The sequence below is a fragment of the Homo sapiens genome, chromosome 14 (genome assembly GCF_000001405.40).
Source record: "Homo sapiens chromosome 14, GRCh38.p14 Primary Assembly".
NCBI lineage: Eukaryota > Metazoa > Chordata > Mammalia > Primates > Hominidae > Homo > Homo sapiens.
The window spans coordinates 106017041-106043079 of NC_000014.9; the positions used below are offsets into that span (position 1 = coordinate 106017041).

General features: G+C 42.5%; 1 pseudogene, 2 gene segments (V, D, J or C) and 1 further gene; all 4 read right to left on the reverse strand.

Annotated features, from left to right (window-relative positions):
• The window catches only part of IGH (immunoglobulin heavy locus), a 1293408-nt gene that overhangs the window by 430604 nt on the left and 836765 nt on the right, over window positions 1-26039 (reverse strand).
• Window positions 8105-8541, reverse strand: IGHV7-4-1 (immunoglobulin heavy variable 7-4-1). The segment is given in 2 exon segments: window positions 8105-8411; window positions 8496-8541. Coding segments are annotated over 2 exon segments (353 nt in total), but the record flags the coding sequence as incomplete, so codon positions are not given.
• IGHV2-5 (immunoglobulin heavy variable 2-5) lies at window positions 20862-21305 on the reverse strand. The segment is given in 2 exon segments: window positions 20862-21173; window positions 21260-21305. Coding segments are annotated over 2 exon segments (358 nt in total), but the record flags the coding sequence as incomplete, so codon positions are not given.
• On the reverse strand, window positions 22626-22724 carry IGHVIII-5-1 (immunoglobulin heavy variable (III)-5-1 (pseudogene); annotated as a pseudogene). Its single transcript is given in 1 exon segment — window positions 22626-22724. A coding segment is annotated over 1 exon segment (99 nt).

Genomic DNA, 26039 nt, shown 5'->3' on the forward strand with positions numbered 1-26039 from the left:
CCTTGTCTTGTTTCTGTTCTTAAGGAAAATGCTTCCAGTGTTTGCCCATTCAGTATGATGTTGGCCATGGGTTTGTCATAGACGGCTCATCAGATTGAGGTGTGCTCCTTCAATGTCTATAATTTTGAGGATTTTTATCATGAAGCGTTGTTAGATTCTATTGAAAGCTTTTTTCCTGCATCTGCTGGAATACTCACATGGTTTTTGCTTTTGATTCTGTTTAGTAGAGCATCACATTTATTGCTTTGCACAGGTTAAAGCACTTGTACAGTGCTGGATGGAATGTGAATTAGTCCAAGCACTGTGGAAAGCAGTTAAAGCAGCCTTGCATTTGCAGAATGAAGCCTACTTGATTGCAGTGTGTTAACTTTTTGATAAACTACTGGATTTGATTTCCTACGTTGAGAATTTTTAAGCCTATGATCATGAGAAGTATTTGTCTTGAATTTTCATCTCTTCTCAGGAGCAGACACAGGCACTGATCAGGAACTGGGGACCTGTGAAGGTGAGTAGCTGGTCAGGGTTTCTGAGGATGAGCGTCTGTGATGGGACCTGCCTGTCCCTTCTCTTATGGGATGTCTCTCCTGAGGATCCTGTACTGTCTTATTTGTGCAGGTCCACTCTGTGGGACTTGTCTTTATAAATCTCAAATCTCAGGAACAGGAGAGCTGTGCTCCAAAAGCCCCCATAGAGAAGACACATTCCCATCCTGCTGTGATTGAAACAGCTCCATCCTGGGCATGGGGAGGGCTCATGTGTCCCCCACACTGGGATGAACAGCAGCAGCCGCATGTGAGCTGAGGAGGACTCAAGGATGTTTCCCAGCACTTCCCCCAAGAAGGAAATTTGTGTGATTACCCCATATCCCGGCTGGCCCTGTGACTTGCTTCTTTCAAACTTCTTGGCCTGGAAAGTGCAGGCACCAGCTGTTACTGTCACTCCTGTTGTGACACTGTACACAGCACCAGGGCAGGAGCCTGGGGATGGGGCTGAGGAGAGACACTAGCTAGGTGAATCCATTGAAAACTTGGGGACCTGCTGGGGTTCCTACTCTGAGAAGCACAGATCCTAGAGGGTTTGGAGGAGGAGGAAGTCACCATCAGTGACTCAGGAGCTGCTGCTCTGCAGGTCACCTGATTGGCAGGTAGCAGTGGGCAGGTGAGTGTGCTTCATCCCTACAGGGACACGAGGCTTCGACCTGCCCCTCCTCACCAGGAAGGAAACTGGCTTTGTTCATCCCGGTTTCCCCAGCTGTCTGGTCATCCTCTCTTCCTGACCTCCTGCCCAGGGCCCTCAGGCCTGTGATGCATGGACAAAGTACCTGGAGGTACCAAAGGACCTGGAGGTTCCAGGAGGAAATAAAAACGAGTTTGGGGTCTATGAGCTCTCTCACCCTCACACTAGTTCAGACATGCCCTTTCTGTTTATTTAGTTCAGATTTACATATAACAAACCACACAGCCAGGCTCGTCTAAATTGCCACATGCTTGTTTAAACACATTGGAGCAGCATTAATCCTCACATTGATCTCAGAGAATCTTGGTTCCAGTTCACTGTTTACATTAGCTGAGAGCAGCATCAGGGACACACTGGAGTGGACATTTCTTCCCTAAAAAAGCCTCACTCCCAAATATACTAAAGAGCTGCCATGGAGCCATTGTGTGGTTGGATTTCTTCTTATCAGCCTGTCATGGAGGATATTTTGAATGATGTAGACTTTACACTTAGATGGTAATGACTCCCATTGTTGTTGAAATGGCTGGCAGCCCACAATCCTGTTTCTCCTCTCAACTCACCTGAATGTCTCCAAGAACCCCAGGAACCTCAGGACTCCCTTCATGGATGACTCTGAGGATTGTTAGTCTGCTCAGTGCTACACACAGAAGTAGCTAACAGAGGATTCTCAGTCCGCTGACATGTTGGGCTCATAACATAGGACACACATCCAAGAGTGGCCAATTCATGTCAATGCCAATGGAAATTTAATTGAAGAGGCATTATTTTTAGTGCATTGGAGTGTAAAATCTTCATGATTCATGGCAATAGAGCCACAGACTGAATGCTTTGCAGAAGAAGTGAGCTCATTGTTAGAAGAAAGAGGCCTGCCCCCAAGAAGTCAGTCTCTTTAACTAAAGCACCTGAAATATGGTGTCCTGAGACCTTGTGAAAATTCATTTCCTGGAGTAAAGAAAGGGGAAAGCTATTCTTAAATCATTGGAAGAAACCATATCAGAAATTTTATCAACACAGCAGTCAAATTCCAGTAAGTCAATGCTTGGGTTTATGTTTCACAACTCAGGAAGCAATAAAGAAATCTACATAATCGGAAGGCTACTCCAACAGAGGGAATTTTGACCTATTTAATTAATAGGCCAGTATTCACTCAAAGACACACTCCTGTGAGATCTCCAACTTAAACAGATCTCTGTAACCTGAAGAAGTTTTCTCAACAGATTCTTTTTTCTCTAGACACTCGCAAATGCAAAAATACATTTTGTATATTTGTGTATGAGTGATCTAGAGAAGTCCTTGCCTTGTTAATGAAAGTTCATGGAAATATGATAACTGCATCACTTACTGTGAACTCACACTTCACTTGTCTCAAAAATTTCTCACCCATGTGATGGAGCAATGGGTGCCTGTAAGAATATGCTGATTTTTGGACTCAATGTGTTCTCTTTGCTTGACTTATAGACGCATGTCTGACATCTGAGACACACCCTGGGGAGCTGTCTCCAGACACAATAATGTAATCTTCTTCATGAACACAACTCTGCATTCTCCACATACCTCAGCCACACCTGAGGGGAGAGCTGTTAGCTTCACCGTCCAAAAGCGCTTTATACCCTGGAGTCTGAAAAATAATTTGGATGTGATACCACCTTGTACTTGTAATATAGAGGGCAGAGGTCAGCCTCCCCCTGGACTTGAATGTGTTTTATTGTTGTATGTATTTTCTTGCAGACATGAATTACTTGCTTGACAAAAACTACAGCCATGCCAGTTCATAAAATTTTCCTTATTCTGATTTTCCCATCTGTGGCATTTGAATTTCAATACTGAGTGAGCGATGTGCATACCTCACAGGAGCAATTACAAAATAACTCTTTTTAGCTCCTTAGTGTTACTCAAATGCTGCACTGTCCTTACTGCCAAAAATCTTCTGGAAAGTTCTAAATAAAACTGAATCATATGTTGCATCGTTAAGTTAAAAGTCGCATAACATTCAGAAACACATGAGCTTTTTTGCCGAAGGTAAATCTGCTAAAACTTACAACACAGGGTCTGCTTTCTCAAGGACACAAACATTATCACCGTATGACTTGATTCATCAAAAGCCCATGTATTTTCAATTACATCTTCAATATTAGACTCTGATTCATTAAATGCAGATACAGCAAAGTATTTTAGGGGACTCATGTGCTATGCAGAAGCATTCAACAGGATGTTAAAGATGCCTTCCCACCAAATCTTCCTAATTATCTTTTTATTGTCATTAACTTGGAAATTCTTTATTTTAGAAGAGACATCAGAGAAAAGCAGCTTCAAACATTGTCAAAAGGCCTTATTATTTAACGTTATCAACAAACGCAGCAGTAATCCAGGATATCAGTTCATAGGTTTATGAAGTGAAAATGGGATGGGTTACAAAAGTTGTTTTGAGAGAACGATCCTGTAGTTGTAGAATCAATATCAAGGGTGGCATCAGTGTAAGGTTGAACTGGCAGTGTCTGGGATGATGTCCTTGCAAAAGTAATTCTTTATAAGATTGTGGTGTCTTCTTCCCAAGATTGTGGTTAAGCAGAGTCTATTTATGATAGTTCTTGTTATCAAGAATATGGGCTTAAGAACCCTCCTTCATGGTCATTCCTAGTTTCATTTGTCAGGGTGTTAACACAAGTGGCTCCATTTTGATTCTGACAACTTTCCCACTCTCTTTCTAACACTACAGGTGAGGAAGGTGAACCTGTGTTAGTTTGCACAACACAGGATAAATTCCACATCCACATCCCATTTTGACCACACAAGCTCATCCCCTTCACAACTATTGGTCACTTGCATTCCCAGGTGAGTCTCCACACAACACACTGGAGGGTTCTGAGCAACGGGAGAGAAGATAGTCCCGTCAGCCTCTCCCACGTGGCTGCAGGAGCCACAGTCTGAGCCCCACCTGAGCTGCAGGGAAAGGGCTTGAGCCCTGGAATTTTTACAGCAAGAACCACATCTCCACTTTACAGGGATCAGGAACAGCGAAAGGAAAATCAACAACAAACACAACTAACAAGAAATAGAATGGGCTACGAGCAAAAGGGGCCCCAGATCAGTGCTGATACAGATTTGCATACTTTAGTGTCAGGAGAAGGGTCAGACGTAAATCCTGTGAGGTTCTACCTGACACTGACCCTGGCCCAGCCTCTCTCTTGGCTGAGGTTAGAATTCCTAAATACTGCTTTCTTCAGGGAACCCCACTAAGGTCCCTGTCCTGAGTGTGACTGGAGAAGACTCACTGGGTTCCCCTCAGCTTCCACAGGGCTGTGACCCTGGTGACCACTGGCAGAGGGATTGTTCCGCATTTAGTGCCTGTGAGAAGGTTTCCTCCTGGTACAACAAAACTGTGGTATTTCAGAGACGTAGAGCTAGGCACAGCATCATGAAATAAGGGAGGGTCCCTGGAGGAAACATGTAGATGTAGAGGCAGCCCCACACCCTGGCAGTAAACCAGCCTCTCATCTCCACCCACACCTGCTCTGGGGCTGGCCCTGTGCTTCCTGCAACCTGCTCTTCCCCTGGTGGTCTTGAGTCCCCCTCACGGTCCTGAGTCTTGCTGGCGGTCCTCAGTGCCCTGAGAGCAAGTTTTGTGTCAGGGCTCACAAGGACACCTCCTCACTGAGTCTTTCACAGTAATACTCAGCCATGTCCTAGGCAGCCATGGAGCTGAGCCTCACAGAGAACTGGCTCTTGGTTGAGTCATTGTTGATGGAGATGCAGACCTGGGTAGAGGGTGCATGATGTGTATTCCTTGGTGATCTTGATGATGATCTTGGTGATCTTGGTGATCATGATGTGTATTCCTGGTAGCTGTGCCCCAGCCATTCTAATCTGTTGCCCAGGGGATGGTGGATTCAGCTCAAATAATATCCACCGGTAAAAAAAAAGAATCCAGACACAGCACAGGTGGAGGGCAGTGTCTGAGGGCCTCATGGGTCCTGGACCTGACTCCTGCAGCTGCACCTGGGACAGTACACCTGGAATAAGAGGGAACATCCTGGTGAGTCACACACAGAGCTCACTGTCCCCATCACCCCATTTCTTATTTCTAGAATTTCACACTGAAAAGCTGTCATCCATCAAAGACATGTAAAAAGTTGATCTAATTGAGAGAAAGATTAACGCCTTTCATGGGGAAATTGTGCTCAGGCTGATGACAGAGCAGTATCTAGGGAGGAGAGAGGCTGACAACACCCAGCATTGTTCTCCTAAACAGAGTTTGAGGAGAAGTGTGCATGTGCCAGGAGCCCCGCACATGTAAGGGGCAGGAACCATGGCGACCCTCTGTCTCGGAGCCTCTTCTCAGGGGTGATTTTCCTGCTCAGGCGTCAGATGACACGAAGTCATTCCTCCTCTGAAAGAGCATCCCTCTGCTGAGTGTTCAAGGCATCCATTCTCACCCCAAGGGCAGGAAGGCAGGTGACAGAAACAAGCAGGTTTGCTGGACAGAGAGGGAAGAATAGGAGTAGGAACTGGGGAAACACATGGTGCCCAGGACCTGTGGTCTACAGTCCTCCTGCTTCTTTCGGGTTCCCAGCTGGAGATGATACATTGTGAACTTTCCTGGCAGTCACGCTTCTGGAGGGAGGATTGGGGGAAATGCTGAGTAAGTTCTCCTCTTTGCTGAGCACAGCGTTTTCACTCTCTGTGGTATGTGGTTTAATCCCTTCCCGGTTGAGTCACCCCTGCTCATCCCTCCCTGTTGCTCCCCAGGTTTTGCTTCTTTGCTCACAGTCTTATCCTTTTCTAGATTTCTTTTCCTGGAGCCCCCATAGTAGCCTTGAGTGACAACATCACTCCAGTCCACAACATCTTATAAACTGTGATTAATTTCCTTTTGATTACCTATGAACACTTTATAAGAAAATAGATGGTATGGAGAAACATTGCTTTCCTGTTATACATAGAGCCCTGCTGCATTCTCAACAGGCCTGAGGAAACACACACACACACACACACACACACACACACACACACACACATAGATTCCCACATCCCCTTTCAATTTCCAACAGGAAAAGTCACAACTGTTTTGGAAGAATTGTTTGCATGGGGCATGGGAGCCACATGAGTCATCACCCCTCTCTGAGCATACAGGATCTCCATGTTCAAAGAGGAGAGAGACTCCAGGTGTGCAGGAGCCCAGTGTTTCAGGACCTGGGAACAGAATCATGGGAGACCAAGTACAGCAGGACTGACCAAGAGGACTAAAGCACTGATGGTAGACTTTGAGTGAGGAGAACAAGGTAAGGCCTGATCTTATGTCTTCTGCCCTTCATTCTGTTGACATGATGTGTCACATTGATTGATTTGCATAGGTTGAACCATCCTTGCATCCCTGGGATAAACTGCACTTGGTCATGATGAATGGTTCTTTTGTTATGTTATTGAATTTGGTTTGCTAAGATTTCCTTGAGGAGTTTTGCGTCCATATTCATCAGTGATATTGACCTATAGTTTTCTTTTTTTTTAGGTGTGTCTTTGTCTGGTTTTTGTATAAGGGTAATGCTGGCCTCGTACAGGAGATTTGGAAGAATTCCTCCCCTCTTTATCTGTTTTTGGAATATTTTGAGTGGGGTTAGGTATTATCTCTTCTTTAAATATTTGTCATAATTGAGCAATGAAGTCATCAAGTCCCGAGATTTTATTTGCTGGGAGACCTTTTATTACGGCTTCATTCTCACTACTTGTTACTGATCTGTTCAGGTTTTCAATTTCTTCCTCGTTCAATCAAAGTTGTATGTGTCTCTAAATCTATCCATTTCTTCCAGATATTTCAATTTATTGGCATTTAGTTGTTCCTGCTAGCCTCTAATGATTCTTTGATTTTCTGCACCATTGGTTGTAATATTTCCATTTTTCTCTCTGATTTCATTTACTTTGGTCTTCTTTCTTTTTTTCTTAGTCTGGTTAAAGGTTTGTAGATGTCTTTTATCTTTTTAAAAAACAGCTTTTCATTTGATCCATCTTTTGTATTGTTTTCTTTATTTCAATTTTATGTATTAACGTTTTGATCTTTCCTTTTTTTTTTTTTACTGTGTTTGGGTTTGATTTGCTCTTGCTTTTCTATTTTTTAAAAGACATTCCTAGGATGTTTATTTTATGGTTGTCTACTTTTTTAAAGTAAGTGCTTATAGCTATAAACTTTCCTCTTAATACTGCTTTCACTGTATTTCATAGGTTTTCATATGCTTTGTCTTCTTTATCATTTCTTTCAATAAATTTTAAAATTTTTTATGTCTTTATTAACCCATTTTGGAGCATGTGGTTCAATTTGGGAGCACATTGTTTAATTAGGGAGCATATTGTTTAATTTCCATGTGTTTGCATAGTTTTCCAAGATTCCTCTTATTAATTTAGTTTTCTTCCATTATGATCAGAGAAGGTACTTGATATCTTCTCAATTAAAAAATGACTAATTTTCTGGTCTACTATATGGTCTATCCTTGAGACTGATCCATATGTTTAGGAAAAGACTGTGCACTCTACAGCCATTGGATGAAGTGTTCTGTCAATATCCATTATGTCCATTTGGTCTGTCATGTACATTTAGTCTAAGATTTCATTGTTAATTTTCTGTCTGGAAGATCTGTCCAATGCTGAGGGTGGGGTGTTAAAGTCTCCAGCTTTTACTGTATTGGGTCTATCTCTCTGTTTAGCTCTAATAATGTTTGCTTGATATATCTGGGTACTCCACTGTTGGGTGCATATATATGTATGTTTATAACCCTACAAAGGGTGCAGCCACGTTGTCCCTGTCACTGCCTCAGCTCAGCACAGCTGCCTCCTCCCACAGGGTTTTTGACACTCTCAGGATGTGGGTTTCCACACTGTGTCTCTCGCACAGTAATACACGGCAGTGTCCTCAGCCTTTAGGCTGCAGATCTGCAGATATGCCGTGCTGACAGAGGTGTCCAAGGAGAAGACAAACCGTCCTGTGAAGCCCTGGGCATACGTTGGGTTCCCAGTGTTGGTGTTGATCCATCCCATCCACTCAAGCCCTTGTCCAGGGGCCTGTCGCACCCAATTCATAGCATAGCTAGTGAAGGTGTATCCAGAAGCCTTGCAGGAAACCTTCACTGAGGCCCCAGGCTTCTTCAACTCAGACCCAGATTGCACCAGCTGCACCTGGGAGTGGGCACCTGTGGAGAGGAGATGGGAGTGCATGAAGTCTCACTTGACTGTGCTGGTTTCTCCCTCAGCCCAGTGACTGGGGAGCCCCTTACCTGTTGCTGCTGCCACCAAGAAGAGGATCCTCCAGGTCCAGTCCATGGTGTGGAGCTGTGGTCTAGGGGCTTCTTCTTAGGAGGGGTGTGGTTGTTGGGTGATGCTCTCAGGGCCCAAAGATAGCTATATTTACCTCAGTTATTTGCATATTCATGAGTGATCCTATTTCATACCTGATATTGCATGAGAAAGAGCAGAGAGATGACACACGGAGGATGCTCAAGGTTCAAGCTGTAATCCCCTTAGAGGCCATGTGAGCCCTGCCATATCCCTAAGCTCTATGTTGACAGAGCTTCTCCCATTGGCTAACAATTTTCCCTAGAACAGGACTTCACTGGGAACCCACACTCAAATGGCTCAGAGGTAATATAAGCATTTCTAGGCTTTAATACATGAATGTATTATTTGGGGGATGAGTGTGTTTCTCCAAAAGTTTCACTTATTTATAGAAAAGAAAAGTAGTTTCCTTAACCTCCAGCTGCATACTATTAAGATATCTAGAAGGGTTAGAAATCTCCAGTGTAAAAGTGGTTCTCATTACAACATCAAGTTTGATAAATGCTCGCAATTGAATAGGATATTTATAGAATGTTCAGTTGTCAAATATGTATTTTAGATTTTTTAAAGAATGACACAGATCTCGAGAGGAATCCCTCCCCAGCCTCCTGTGCACCTGCTCTGGGGCTGAAACTTGTACTGGGTGGGCTTTGAGCGTCCCCTGCAGCCCAGCCCTTGCACTGCAGAGAGGCTCCTGTCTGGGCTCCCAGAGCATTTTCCCCCAAGTATGAAGTGGCTGTGTCCTGGCTCGGAATGCTCCTTTAGTGACACGTGACACCATGTACTGCTGACACCATCTCTTACAATAGTAAATTGGCCGTAGGAAAGCCAGTGAACTCTGCAGAAACACCCCAAGCAAGGATTCTATGAAACCACCAGGGAGCCCCTTCCCTGGAGCTCCGGAAGCACTGGATCAGTCCACACTCATAGTGAGTCCAGGAACTCCCAGGGACTTTGGGAAAACACCTAATCTCTTGTCAGTTCCTTTGGATGAACATCTCATCAGATAATTTCTAAACCTGCCCACTCCACAACTCCTAATCTACATACACACATACACACACACACACACAGTGCCTAGATTCCCCACAGTAATGGGAGGGAACTGTGCCTTACTCCCTGTGTCTAGCACATTGGTTGTGCACCCACAGTGCCCCTAGGCCTGGGGATATGCCCTTGTCAAGTAGAGCAACAGCAAACACCTTACACCTGGAGACGGGGCCCTGCACACACTGTTGCTTCCCTGTTCTCCCAGGACCTGGGATCCTGCAAATGCCTCTGAGAAGCATTCAGGCTCCCCCGGGAGAGTCAGACACAGCCCAGCCCCACCGAGTCGGTGCAGCCTGCACTGAGCCGCTGACCTGTGGGGAAAGTCACAGCAGACCCACAGCCCAGCCAGCCCCACTCCCAGAGGCACATCAAGGAAGGGGGCAGAACCCTGGGGACTGTTGATGGGGATCTTCTCAGGAGCAGACACAGGCACTGATCAGGAACAGGGGACCTGGGAAGGTCAGTAGCTGGTCAGGGTTTCTGAGGACCAGCGTCAGTGATGGGACCTGCCTGTCCCTTCTCATATGGGATGTCTCTCCTGGGGATCCTGTACTGTCTTATTTGTGCAAGTCCACTCTGTGGGACTTGTCTTTATAAATCTCAAATCTCAGGAACAGGAGAGCTGTGCTCCGAAAGCCCCCATAGAGAAGACACATTCCCATCCTGCTGTGATTGAAACAGCTCCATCCTGGGCATGGGGAGGGCTCATGTGTCCCCACACTGGGATGAACAGCAGCAGCCGCATGTGAGCTGAGGAGGACTCAAGGATGTTTCCCAGCACTTCCCCCAAGAAGGAAATTTGTGTGATTACCCCATATCCCGGCTGGCCCTGTGACTTGCTTCTTTCAAACTTCTTGGCCTGGAAAGTGCAGGCACCAGCTGTTACTGTCACCCCTGTTGTGACAGTGTACACAGCACCAGGGCAGCAGCCTGGGGATGGGGCTGAGGAGAGACACTAGCTAGGTGAATCCATTGAAAACTTGGGGACCTGCGGGGGTTCCCACTCTGAGAAGCACAGATCCTAGAGGGTTTGGAGGAGGAGGAAGTCACCATCAGTGACTCAGGAGCTGCTGCTCTGAAGGTCACCTGATTTGCAGGTAGCAGTGGGCAGGTGAGTGTGCTTCATCCCTACAGGGACACGAGGCTTCGACCTGTCCCTCCTCACCAGGAAGGAAACTGGCTTTGTTCATCCCAGTTTCCCCAGCTGTCTGGTCATCCTCTCTTCCTGACCTCCTGCCCAGGGCCCTCAGGCCTGTGATGCATGGACAGAGGCACTTTCTACTCCGGTCGTTGATTCCCCAAGCCAGCTCCCTCTAGAAAATGCATGATGTCTTCCTGGTTCTCTGTCCCTGGCTGAACCAGAGAGGACACACATGGATATACCAAAGTGTCAAAGTGGAGGAGAGGAATCTTGGAAAGCAGTCTGGAGAGAGGGTGCGAAGAACAGGAAACACTTGTACAGTGTTGGGTGGAATGTGAATTAGTCCAAGCACTGTGGAAAGCAGTCTGGAGCGAGGCTGCAGAGAACAGGAAACACTTGTACAGTGTTGGGTGGAATGTGAATTAGTCCAAGCACTGTGGAAAGCAGTCTGGAGATTTGAAAAGTATTTGAAGCAGAGCTGCCACTTGGCCCGGCCATCTCATATGTGGGTATATGCACAAAAGAAAATAAATCAGTCTACCAAAAAATACACCCACTTACATGTTCATTGCTATGCTACTCTTAATACCTAAGACATAAATCCAACCTATGTGTCCTTTCATGGTGAATTTGATCAAGAAAATATGGTACATGTATACCATGGAACACTATGCATTCACAGAAAAAGAATAAAATCATGTCTTTTGTGGCAACATGGATGCAGCTGGAAGTCAACATTCTAAGCAAGCTGATGAAGAACGAGATGATGAGAGTCAACGGGAGATGAAGCTGACATTTTGGGTTTGCCTGTGTGTAAAACGGAGAAAAGAAATCACCTGGGCACATAGACTCTTAAAATAGCCAAGTCTGGAGCCACTCATATCCCAGTTTCCATTTCATTAGGTTTTAATCTTCGTCATTTTTAGTGAGTTAAATTTGGTTTTCTTTACTCTTGGCTAAAATAACCACACGTCCTGAATTAGAGGCATTGCAATCAAAAGGTCATATTTGAAGCTTACAAGTCCCAAGTCAGGTCAAAGTTAGTGTGAGATTCAGTGTGATAGATAGGAGACATGGCTGGATACTAAGAATGGGCTCAGGGTTATTTTACCTAAATTAGGAAAATTTGTTCACATCCCTTATGTTAGATTTCATTGGAAACCTTTGTTCTAATACCATCTCTGATAGATTATACCTCAATAATTAAGCTGGAGGTTATGAATTAGTAATTTAAATTAATAGTGGAAGCCTCCATCTAGAATATATTTCTCTACCAAGTGTAAAGTTAGCTCAGACGGCAGAAATAACTGCACTCAGCAGAGCTTGTCAGTAAGGCAAAGACATACACAAACACATTTATTGCAAGGGTAGTACATGACTTGGAAGTGATCCACACACAAAAGGATTCTCGCATTGTCTAGAACACGTCAAAATGGACAAGGGAAGGGATTGTAAATGCACTCCTAAGTCCTGGAGACCTGACTAACATAACATAGGAAGAAAAGGCAAAGAAAAAAGTAGCATAATAACTAAAATACATCTGTAACTCTATCTATCTATGTATTTATGTTTGCAACTATATCTCTATCGAGGTACGTATGTATGTATGTATGTATGTAGCCATCTATCATCTATCTATTTAAAGCAAGCAGCCCTAAAATTGTTTGTAATACTATCTAAAAATGGAAGGAACTACAATCACTCATATAACACAGAATAATACTGTCTACAGCTTTCTGGAAATGTTGAAAAAATTGTAACCCTTAAATTAAAATCTTCAAAACTTTAAGAAAATCTCGGCTGGGTGTGGTGGCTCACGCTGTAATACCAGCACTTCGGGAGGCCAAGGCAGGAGGACCACTTGAGGTCAGGAGTGCGAGATCATCCTGGCCAGCATGGCAAAACCCCGTCTCTACTAAAAATATGAAAAACTTAGCTGGGTGTGGTGGCACATGCCTGTAATATCAGCTTTTGGGAGGCCGAGACAGGAATCGCTTGAATCAGGGAGACAGAGGTCACAGTGAGTCGAGATCGCACCACCGCACTCTAGCCTGGGCAACAGAGTGAGACTCTGTCTCAAACAACAACAACAAAAAAAAAAAAAAAAAGGAAAAGGAAAAGAAAATCTTGGACTTCCTTGGCCAAAGTTTCTCCCCGTGGTGTTACGGTATTATAGTCAGCTCCTCCAGAGTATGTCCGTTATTACACTATTATTTGGTGGCTGAAAGATCGTACCTTTAGAGACTTTACACTCAGTGCTCACCGCTGTCTTATTGCACGCATGCATGTGTTACAAAATATTGAAAGTGATTTCTGTATTATACCAACTCCATTCACCAACAGATTAAGGCTACTTTGGTACTTCATCTTTTCAACAGTCTCTCATGTGTCTATTGCAAATAAAGTCATGAGAAAATACTGCTCTTGAACCTCATTTCAAGGACTCTTGCCAAGTACTTTTAGCCAAAACAAAGGAGTGACTTTTAGAATGTCAATACTTAGGTCCATATTTATAAACTTTAAACTAAAAGTAAAATTGCAGTCACCCCATGAGATTGAGTGGTTCCCCCTCTTGGCCAAGGAGGCACCAAAAACACCTAAAAACTGAGTTCCCAGCTGGGCAGAACAAGAGATCAGACACACCTCATTATACCCACTCCCTTTTGTGGTTCAGAGACAACATGGACCAACACTAACATTAAAATGGAGATCATAAGACTGACAGAACAGATTCTCTGGGGCAATAAGATGCCCCGTTATAAACAAGACCTAAGGCCATGCCAGGCAGGGGTTACATCCCTCACCCCAACTCTTAAAGAATATAAACTGTTATTTTCTTCTGTAGCAGCAAAATAAGCACTGATCCTGAGATAAGCACGATTTAACCAACTGCAGCTCATCCTCTGACTAACTGACCCCCCATTCCACAGCCATAACCCCAGCTTGGATGGGACACCAGATTGATTTCAGGAATTTTCTCCTGATCAGAGACCACTGACCAAGGCCTGGTTCTGGCCATTTATGGAGGCTGCGCTCTGAGGGTCTTTGTGCCCCTGCTCCAGCTTTTGGCACTTAGGGCCTAACTGTAACACATTTAAATGCTAAGTCCCCACTGCTAAGTGGGTCACATGTGACGTGTATGTTTGCTCCCATATTCATGTGTCATGACCACCTTTATGAACACGCATAGCCCCTCCTGTAATCCGTTGATTATGTCTGTTTAGCCAACACGTTCAGCATAAAGTTTCTGCCCCACCGCTCCTCCTTGGGAGTGCCTGTCTCTCGTCTTCACCAATGGCTGTGCTTCCCAGCCTGTGAAATGGCTGTAATCTTTTATAAAAAGTAAAGGCTTATTTTTTAAAATTTGTAGATTGTGTGATTTTTCATGTAATGCAACCGAGGAATTAATTCATAAACCCACCCAGTTGTAAGGCTGCTCAAGTACGAAGGGGAGACCTGCCCCTCCACACCTGTGGGTATTCCTCGTCAGGTGGGATGAGAGACTGAGAAAAGAAATAAGACACAGAAACAAAGTATAGAGAAACAACAGTGGGCCCAGGGAACCGGCACTCAGCATACCAAGGACCTGCACTGGCACCGGCCTCTGAGGTCCCTCAGTTTTTATTGATTATTATTTTCATTATTTCAGCAAAAAGGAATGTAGTAGGAGAGTAGGGTGATAGTGGGGAGAAGGTCAGCAAAAAACATGTGAGCAAAAGAATCTATGTCGTAATTAAGTTCAAGGGAAGGTACTATGCCTGGACATGCATGTAGGCCAGATTTATGTTTCTCTCCGCCCAAACATCTCAGCGGCATAAAGAATAACAAGGCAGCATTACTGCAAATATGTCTCGCCTCCCACCATAAGGCGGTTTTTCTCCTATCTCAAAATTGAACAAAAGTGCAATCGGGTTTTATACCAAGACATTCAGTTCCCAGGGGCAGGCAGAAGACAGTGGCCTTCCTCTAACTCAACTGCAAGAGGCTTTCCTCTTTTACTAACCCTCCTCAGCACAGACCCTTTACGGGAGTCAGGCTGGGGGACGGTCAGGTCTTTCTCATCCCACGAGGCCATATCTCAGACTATCACATGGGAAGAAACCTTGGACAATACCCCGCCTTCAAGGGCAGAGGTCCCTGCGGCTTTCCACAGTGCACTGTGCCCCTGGTTTATTGAGAGTAGACAATGCGGATGACCTTTATCAAGTATACTGCTTGTAAACATTTTGTTAACAAGGCACGTCCTGCACAGCCCTAGATCCCTTAAACCTTGATTTTATACAACACATGTTTTTGTGAGCTCCAGGTTGGCTCAAAGTGGCTGGGTCAAAATGGCTGGGGCAAAGCTACAAATTAACAACATCTCAGCAAAGCAATTGTTTAAAGTACAGGTCTTTTTCAAAATGGAGTCTCTTATGTCTTCCCTTTCTATATAGACACAGTGACAGTCTGATTTCTCTTTCTTTTCCCTAGTGAAGGACACCAAGCTGAGCATTCCCATGTATCCTGTAAGGCCTGAGATATATTGAAGAAGGACTTGACCCGAGACCCTCAGAGCAAGCTGATGATCTCACAGAGTGAAGAGCTTCCACCCAGGACATTGGTCCAAGATCCCTGTTCAATTTGTTCTTCTCTTTCTTTTTGTTATGTGCTTACACTTAAAAAAACTCTATTTTCTGCAGACCTATTTGCTGTCCACCCAGAGTGAACACTTACCTCATTTTTCACTCATTTGCTTAAGTTGCTAAGTAGAATAAGTCATCAGACTCTATTTTGATGCCTCATTACTGATGACAGGATTAATCCTTTTCCTTCACTTTTGTCCCCCACACATGGGAAATTTAGTAGAAAATCATGGAAGTGTCCTCACTGGATGCCAGTATTAGGTTCAAATTATACAAGCTCCTTCCCCTTAGTAGGAAGCCCCACCATTCCTTCAACACCAAACCATCATAAAAACCCTGAGGCAGCTTCTTTCCTGCTCTATTGAGCCAGTTTGGACTTTATTGAGAGGCCTGTGCAGCCCTCAGCAGACGCCTCAATAATGGAGTTGGTAAATCTTTCCATATTCACGTGGTGTGTGAATGTGGCACCATCAGACTCGACATCCACACTAAACATTGGTGAGGGTATCTTTTCCTTTGCATGGGGTCACCTGCAATTGGAGCTGTGAGCTTGGGTCCTGACAGTGACCACCGCGGGCACTTTCTTCTCTTGCACTGGATACTAACTCCTTCCGCCCCAGTGTCTGGCATGCACCGTATCCTGCCTGCTGCTTGCTGGCCCTTTCAGTGCTGTCATGCTGGGCTGCAGTGTTGAGTTAAACAAAGTGTCTTTTATAGATTTAGCTGATTTACTTCAGAAGCATTGATAATTGACATTTAAAGACAAGATTAAGCGACTGTAGGAAACTGTCTTTTACACATGTGAGAAGATTTTTCTTTTATTAAAACAAACATTTTCATTTCAGAGACTTTGGAGATAAGCAAAAAATCATGAATTCAGATAAATTCCTCAAGGGAAGATGTTTTATGGAGAAGAAGCCACAGTGCTGACGGGAAAGAAGAGCTCAGCCTCCATCTGCACCTGCCCCTGAGGCTGGCTCTTGTGATCAGCGTGTCCTGAGCACCCCTGGGGTTAGAATCCTGTGCTCACTTCAGTGAGGTTTGTGTCTGGACTCAAACTCACTTTCCCTCTATTTTTTCCTCCAAATTAGAGAAATTGTAAGTCATGGATCAGTGCAGGTCAGAGAACACCAAATAGCAGGATAAGCCCTTAACACACACACACACGACACACACATACCCACACACACACAAACACTCTTAGGTGAATCATATTCAAATTACTAAAACATACAGACAAATGGAAATACATGCCAGCAATTGGAGACGAGTAGAGGGGGCATACCTTGCAATAGAATAGAAATGAATAATATCAGCATTGCTTTGGTTATAACCATATAAGCAATAGGACAATTGATGGTATCTGTAAAGTGTTGGGAAAAAAGTCAACCCATTATTTTATAACCAGTGAAGGAAACAGTTCCACATCTCACATGACGGTACAAGGAGCTCGATATATCCATGCCTCCATGAAACTGGTGAGATTAATTTTGAAAAATTAACGGGTCTGGAAAGGCCCTGTCAACATACAGAAAGTGAAGGAACATTTATTCGAGATAATCTACAAAACCTCAGTAAGGTCAGACATGATATTGATATTTGATCAAAGATTCTCTTCCTTCCTTCTATGCCCGAGCTCAGCATGATGTAAATTCCACCACAGATGGCTGCAGCCAAGTAGACAGGATTCCTTCTGCCCAGCTCCCAGCAGAGCACACTCTTCCCCAGGGGCCAGGACATTGGCCCTCCGACCTTGCCCACAGGTCATGCTGCTGAGGCTCAGTTCTAGACAAGACTTACTGAGAACCAGAGACTCACTTCTTCCACACAGCCCCACTCATGGATGCAGGCTCTGCCCTGAGTGCAGCACCAAGGAGGAGGACATTGGCTGCCTGGTTCCCAGCCCTGCTCCTATGGCAGAGGGTCCACCCCAGCAGGATCTGCATGCTGGTAAAGTGGAAAGCTCCTCCCCATCCCTCCACTGAGCACTCATCTCCTACATTGAGGAAGAAAAACGCTCTTAATCTCCACCTGCAGAATCTTATTTAGGAGCTCTGTCTCAGGAGTGGGGGTGAGGCTGAAATTTGGTCATAAAATAGAGTCCCGAATCTGGTCTCGAAGGACCTGACTTCATTTACAACAGAGTGTGGAGAATTACAAAAACAGTGGAGGCTGTGGTAAAATGCACTTGGGAGGAGATGGGTAGATGCATGAGAGGTCCAGGCTAAACTGCAGGGCTGCTGGCCTGCAGGAGAGAACCAAGAAGAAAGAGAGCGGGAAGAGTTCTCCTGGGGTCGGTACAAATGTCAGGCACTGTTTGTTCAAAGGCGCCCATGTTTGTTTGGTTCAGTCTGTAGAGCAACTTAGCCCTCAGTGCATTGTTGAAAATATAAACTTCCAACTGCAGGTAGTGGAGCTCAACATCTGGTCCTGGTCAGGGAAGAGCCAGAGAGAGCCCAGCCCAAGCCAGTGACATGTGAGGGTGACAGTGAAATCCATGACTGTGTCTCTGGGGATCTTTCAGGCAGGCCTTCTGTCACTCAGAAGAAAGTCTGGAGTTCACCTGTAATGGTTTGTGTCAAATTTTCAAAGATGTTCATGTTGTTTTTAGTTTCTAACACACACACACACACACCACACACACACACACACAATGTTAAACATCTGAATACGTGTGTGTGTGAACACATGATTTTAATCCTTTGTAGGACATACTCAGGGATGAGAGTTCTAGGTCATGGATTAAGGACATGTTTAATTTTATAAGAAACTGTAAACAGTTCTCCCAGAAACTCTTTCATTTTGCACTAGCAATATTTTAGTCTCTCGGGGCCTGGCATGCTCACTGACACTGGTACTGTCAGTATTTCTTCTTTATTTTTCCTCATTCTAAAGCCTAAAGTCGTGTCTCCTTTTGGTCTTGATTTGAATTTCTCTACTGGAAAATTACATTCATATGCTGATGTGTCATCTGTACATCTTCTTTGATAGAAAGTTTGCACAAACCTTTGCCTATTTTATAAACAGATTGCTTCTTTTTACTGTTGAGTTTTGAGGGTTCTTATTATAATTACATTGTTAGATGTATGATTTGCAAATACTTTCTCCCCTGAAGCTTGTCCTTCAGTTTCTTGATAGTCGGTTGAATAGAAAATGTTTTAAAATTTGATGAAGTTCAACTAAAATTATTTTCATTTATTGATCACACGTTTTAATTTTCAGGATTGTTGATCAACTGTTAATAATTTCACATTTCAATTGTATTTGTTTTTATTTTATACGTATACATTTACGGGGAGTGACTGCAATTTTGTTACATATATATATTGCATAGTCGTCTTGGCTTTAATGTATCCATGATCCAAATAATGTACATCATACCCTTTAAGTAATTTCTCACCATTCTCCCAACTTCTGCTCTCCCATGTTTCTGAGTCTGCAATGTCCATCATTCCTTTCTCTATGGCCCTGTGCACATATTACTTAGCTCCCATTTATAAGTGAAAAAGTGTGGTGTGTGCTGTTCTACTTCTCGTTTATTAGACTTAAAATAATGACCCAGAGTTCCATCCATGTAGCTGCAAAATACATGATTCCATTCCTTAATATGGCTGGATAGTATTTAATTGTATATATATGTGACTTTTTAAATAAAATTATCTGTTGTAAGACACAGGTTAATTCCTTAGGTTGATATCTATGCTACTGTGAATAGTTCTGCAGGAAAACAAAAGTTTGGTTATCATTCTGATATGATGATTTATTTTTCCTTTGGGTAGTTACCCAATGGTGGGGTCATTGAATCAAAGGTAGTTCTGCTTTTATTTCTTTGAAAAATCTCCACATTGTTTTCCATAGAGGCTGTGCTCATCTACATCCTCACCAACAATGACTGAGACTTCCCTTTGCCTTTGATCGCCACCGATGTCTGCTATTTTTGCTTCTTTTATAGTAGCCATTCTGACTGGTGTAAGATACCTCTTTGCAGTTTTAATTTGCATATCCCTGATAATCAGTGATGTTTAGCACTTGTCCAGTTATATGTGTTCTTTAAAAAAATTCCTACTCGTGTCCTTTGCCAATTTTTAATGAGGTTATTTGTTTTTTCATAGCTGTTGTTGTGGTGGGGTTGTTTCAGTTCCGTGTAAATTCTGCCTATCAGTCCCCTGCCAGATGCAATGTGTGCAAATATTTTTTAGCATTCTGCAATTTGTCTGTTCACTCTGTTGCTGTGTGGAAGCTCTTTAGTTTAACTAAATTCCATTCATCTATTTTTGATGTTATTGCTTGTGCTTTTGAGGTTTTTGTGGTAAATTATTTACTAAGCCCAATGTCCAGAGGAGTTCTCCTGGTGTTTTCTTCGAGTACATTTATATTTTGAAGTCCTATAATCAAGCCTTCAGTCCATTTTCTTATGGTTATGTATATGTCGACAGGTTGGTGTCCAGTTTCATTCTTCTGCATATGGCAGTCCAATTGTCCCAGCAACATGGCATGAAGAGCGTGGCCTCTTCCCCGTGCATATTTTTGTTGACTTTGTCAAAGATCACTTGACCATAGATTGTGTGGCTCAGTTCTGGGTTTTGTACAACGTACCTGAGAGCCTTGATTCTCCGGGGATTTCAGCACTGACCTGCTCACTGCTGGAACTCTGTTAGCTCAGTACCTTTTGAGTGTAGTGACTTGTTGCCATGGGATGGTTTTCCTAAAATTGTAGACAGTTATGTTTCATGTTGAAACGTGAGCTAGGATTTTCATAAGAAAGGTATTGTTGAATTTTCCATTTCTTTTCCACATTGCTCCTCAGACTCACTGACGTGGGTTTCTGATGTCAAGTTGAGGCACTCCCTTTCTAAGAGCTGGATTTTTAATTACATGGGTATTTATGGGCTCCCTGTGTGGAAATAAGCCTTGTCTATCACACCTACCCTACGACATTTTTAGAAATTTATTTCTGCACTGTTACTGTGAGACACTCCGTGATGGGGACACATTCCATCTGTTTTATTGTTTTATAAAATTATTTTATTAACGCACCTTTCTCTCTACGAGAAAAGCTATTATCTGAATTTTCACAATTCCTCCTGCTCCCTTATCCCCACATTTTTCTCCAGTGTCATTTCCTGCAGTTTAATAAAGGCATATGTTCTGCTGTTTTGTATTCGGCCGCTTGGAGTAGTATGAGCCCATTAAACTGGCGGCCACATACCAGTGATGCATCTGGCCCAGGTAACATGAACATTTCATGCTGAATGTTTGACAAACAGGACTCAGCTTCTGCTTCTATGAACTATTAACAGGAGTCATGCCATTTATTATTAAAGAAGAAGGAGGAAGACAGGGCTCTGAGTCTAATGGGGATGGGAAATGCAGGCCCTGGCAGGAAAACGTATCTCAGCTGCACTTTCCTGTTCTGCAGAGGTGGGGAGGGAGCACCAATGAGAAGCAGCCTGGGTTTTTGTACAGGAGGTGCCCTGGGCTGTGTCTTTGTGGTCTGTGTGCACAGTAATATGTGGCTGTGTCCACAGGGTCCATGTTGGTCATTGTAAGGACCACCTGGTTTTTGGAGGTGTCCTTGGTGATGGTGAGCCTGCTCTTCAGAGATGGGCTGTAGCGCTTATCATCATCCCAATAAATGAGTGCAAGCCACTCCAGGGCCTTTCCTGGGGGCTGACGGATCCAGCCCACACCCACTCCACTAGTGCTGAGTGAGAACCCAGAGAAGGTGCAGGTCAGCGTGAGGGTCTGTGTGGGTTTCACCAGCGTAGGACCAGACTCCTTCAAGGTGATCTGGGACAAGACCCCTGTGGAGAAAGCATAAGAAGATGAAGCCCACAAACAAGAAAACTGATGTTTCACCCGTGAAGGAGTCCCTGACCACAGCACTCACATGAAGGGATGGTCAGCAGCAGGAGCGTGGAGCAAAGTGTGTCCATGGTGGGGCACAGGAGTCACTGAGCTGGGACCTGTGCTCGGCTTTTTCAACCCAGAGGAGGGTGGAGCTGGTGGAGATTTGCATTCCCCTCATCTGTGCCCTACTCTATGGGATGGAGTCAGGTTTCAGGACTCAGGAGGGTGTTGCATCTGTGGTGAGGAGCAGTGATAGTAACATGATCAGTGTAATTCAGATGGCATTAATCTAAGGCTGGGCAAGTAGATTCTGAGTAGAAGTCTTTGCAGAAGTCATGATTATGAGGTCATGTTGGTCTTTTTGCAAGAACTATTTTATGATAGTTCTTGTTGTCAGGGATATGTGTGTAAGAATTCTCCCTACACTTCCTGAATCCATTTGTCAGGGTTTTAACATATGTGACTCCATTTTGATTCTTACAAATTTCACAATCTCATCCTAAAAGCACTGGTGGAGAAGGACAGTTTATGTAGCAGCCAATTAACTCTACATCCACCTCCCATTTTAACCAGACAAACATATTTCTTTCACTACAAATGGCCACTTGCATTTCCAGAGAAGCCTATACACAATACAGTGGATGGTCCTGAGCAAGGAGAGTGAAGAAAGTCCCTTCAGCCTCTTCCACATGGCTGCAGTAGCCACAGCCTGAGCCCCAGCTGAGCTACAGGGAAAGGGCTTCAGCCCTTGAATTGAGGTCACGGAGACCACATTTACCTTTTCCAGGGAGCAGGAAAATCCAAAGGAAAAGTGAGAACGACAACTAAAAATAAAATAAATTAGAATCAAAAGAAGCACCAGATCAGTGTTATTAATTTGCATAATTTAGTGTCAGGAGAAGGGTCAGACAAAAAACTTGTGAGGGTCCCCATATTCTATATGACACTGACCATGGTCTACCATCTTTAGGCTGTTATCACCATCCTTAATGACTACTCTAAGGGAGACCCACTAAGGTCTCTGTTCTGAGTGTGATTGGAGAAGACTCAACAGGTCCCAGTGAGCTTCTACATGTCTCCAATTTTGGTGACTATGGTTGAGGGCTTTTCATCTCTGTGTCAATTTGTGTTTTGTCCATGTGAGAGTATGTCCTCAAAACACAATATTTTAAAAAAATATTTGGAGATGTCATTGGTAGGCACAGAATTCTAAAATTACAGAAGTTCCTTGGAGAAACTGTCAGACGGAGTTTTTTTCTTCTTTTTTCAATGCTTGCAGGAAAGCAGTCCTAACCTTTGCACTCCCCTCTGTGGTTGACTGATCAGTGGGTCCTGAGCACCCCCTGCAGCTCATTAGCCCAGGTGTTCCTGGAGGTTTGTGTCTCACACCGGCCTTTCCTCATGTGCTTCTCTTGCACAGTAATGTAGTGACGTGTCCTTGGTTTGCAGATTGCCCATTTGCAGAAACAGCATCTTCTTGACATTGTCTCTTGAGATGATAAATCAAAGACAAATAAATACTCTGTCGGACAAACAAATCCTGAGAAAATCTATTCCCAGCATATTAATCTTGCCATAGACGTTTTAGCAGAGTTTCTAGATGAGCAGCCATATGATATACATCCAATACCTGAATGTATCCAAAAGATAAAGATTGTCAACAATGAAAAAAATGAGGTTTAAATTTAGTTTTTGCATTTGTGTTTTCTTTATTACATAAATGTGTAAAGCAATTATAAAAATGTCAATATTACATTTTTATAGCTTATGTAATTACAAACTGATAAAATAAAAAAGGGATAGAAAAGAGGAATTAGACATATATAGTTATAATATCTCTGTTCTATATATAAAGGGGTAGGCTGGGCACGGTGGCTCATGCCTGTAATCCCAGTACTTTGGGAGGCCAGGTCAGGCAGATCACAAGGTCAGAAGATAGAGACCATCCTGGCTAACACGGTGAAAGCCTGTCTCTACTAAAGATACAAAAAATTATCCGGGCATGGTGGCAGGTGCCTGTAGTCCCAGCTACTTGGGAGGCTGAGGCAGGAGAATGGCGAGAACCCAGGAGGCAGAGCTTACAGTGATCTGAGATTGTGCCACTGCACTCCAGCCTGGGCGACAGAGTGAGACTCCGTCTCAAAAAAATAAAAAAGAAAAAGAAGTACTACATTTTTGAATTAGAATTCAATTATAGAAATGTCTTATTGTTATCCTTATGGTAACCAATAAGATATTCATCAATAATAATTAAATAATAAATTAATAGAAACAATACATATTATTGTAAAAAGACAAAACAACCATTATTGGACAAAAGGGTAATATCATTAAAAAATAATTCCTCATAGTTGACTAAAAAAAAAAAAGACCCAGCAATTATCTTTCTCCAAGAAAACTTCTTAACATATTCACAAAGAGAAGAAATAAGATGGAAAAATATAGACCATGAAAATATAAACCAAAGAAAACTTGAATAGCTATGTTAATTTCAGACAAAATAATCATAAAAAGAATACCTTTGCAACTCAAGTGAAATATTGCATAAAATAATAGGATCAACTTTTCCAAAATCCATTTTAAAAGACCTAATAAATGGATTTGGAACAGAAAATAGACTAACATGTATAGAACATGGAGAAATCAACACTCATTGTGATTGAGAAAACAAGCAATGATTAAATAGGTAAAGATATAAGAGTCCCAAATGGCACTATCAACCTACTTGATAAATTTTTATCTATAAAATATTCAACTAGAAAACTTCAGAAATACAAACTGTCATTTACCAGAAGAGAATAAAGGAACAAGACAACTGAATTCAAACTGATGGCCTTGATGGAATCTGGAAACAAACAAATATACGAAAGCAACAGCAAAGAGAGATTCTGTCCCAAAAAAAAGAAAAGAAGATATCCACTAAAAGGGACAAACTATGAAATATTTAAAATGGCTCATTCTGAGATATATATGAGTTACCAAGGCCCATGACACGACCCCAGGAATTCCTGAGAACACATGTCCAAAATGGCTTGATTACAGCTTGATTTTATATACTTTAGTGGGTCAGAAGTTACAGGCAGATATTAATCAACACATGTGAGCTATACCATTTATGCAGTCTAGAAAGGCAGGAAAGTTTATGCACAGGGTTCCAGGACATAGGAGAATTCAAAGATTTTCTGATTGGCAATTGGTTGAAATGTAAGGTAATACAATCATTACAACTGAGTGTCTGGATTAAGATAAGGGGTCCTGGAGATCATAGTTCTTATTATGTAGATGAAGCCTCCAGGTAGCAGATTTCATACAGAATAAATCATTAGGTTTTGCTATTTGTCATGTGATGCTATACTAGAATCAAGTTGTAATTTGATGTCTTTTTGCTATAGAAAGTGTTTACAGCAAAAATATAGTTTTGCCCGTCTTAAGATCTTTGTTGTAGTACTAATGCTGGCCACTGGTGCCTTAATTCCAAAGAGAGGAGCATGTAATGAGGCATGTCTGACCTCTCACTTTCCCATCATTGCTGGAACAAGTTTTAGAATTTACTTTGAAATTCCCTTGGCTGAGGGTTGAGTTCATTTAGTTGCTTGAGGAAGCTTAGAATTTTATTTTTCATTTACAATAGAAATTATTGGAAAAATGATAAATAAAATAAGGTCTGGTATTGAATATATTTACACTTATCAATGTAAATGTGTTAACACCATGTCTTATGATGATAGAGGATATTCATCTTAGGAGATACTTGGAGATGGGAACACACTGTATTAACTTTATAATTTTTTTATCTATAATTATTCTGAATCAAAAGTATATAAATGTAAAAAGACTATCATAAAAATACAAGTCACAACTGATAAAATAAGTTTCTGAAAATTATACAATTTCAATTACATTTATGAACATGTATTCTGGAAGAAAATATTGAAATTACCATCAAAAAATGACCAATGTTTATTTGTATAAAAAACATTTGAAGCACCAAATACTAAAATCAAGCAAAGAGAGTGCTATTTATATAGTTATTTTATTTTCTATAATATGATTTAAAAAGTGTTATTATAGGCATTTTATAAACCAGTAGTGAGCATAATTATGTTAATTTTTTCTCAATTTTGTGTCAATATCTTCTTAATTTCATATAGACATTTGTTACTGCATGTGTCATTTCCAAAATATTCAGCTATTATTTTTCATATTAATATGACTCCTTTGTTGGCCCTAGGCATTGCATTTTAATATGGACATTTATCAGTTCCCAAAATTAATACTTTTATAATTTCTTACACCTGTCTTTACTGGAATCTCTAAACATAAATTGTGAAGATTTCATTTTAATATGGACATTTATCAGTTCCCAAAATCAATACTTTCATAATTTCTTTAATCTCATAATCCTGTTATCTTTGTAAGCTGAGGATGTAAGTCACCTCAGGACCCTGTGATGATTGCATTAACTGTACAAATTGATTGTAAAACATGTGTGTTTGAACAATATGAAATCTGATTGTAAAACATGTGTGTTTGAACAATATGAAATCAGTGCACCTTGAAAAAGAACAGAACAACAGCGATTTTAGGAAACAAGGGAAGATAACCATAAGGTCTGACTGCCTGCGGGGTCGGGCAGAATAGAGCCATATTTTTCTTCTTGCAGAGAGCTTATAAACTGATGTGCAAGTAGGGAAGATATCACTAAATTCTTTCCCAGCAAGGAATATTAGTAATTAATACCCTGGGGAAGGAATATGTGATCTTTGCCCTGCTTTTTGCCCCTTAAAGCATGTGATCTTTGTGACCTACTCCCTGTTCGT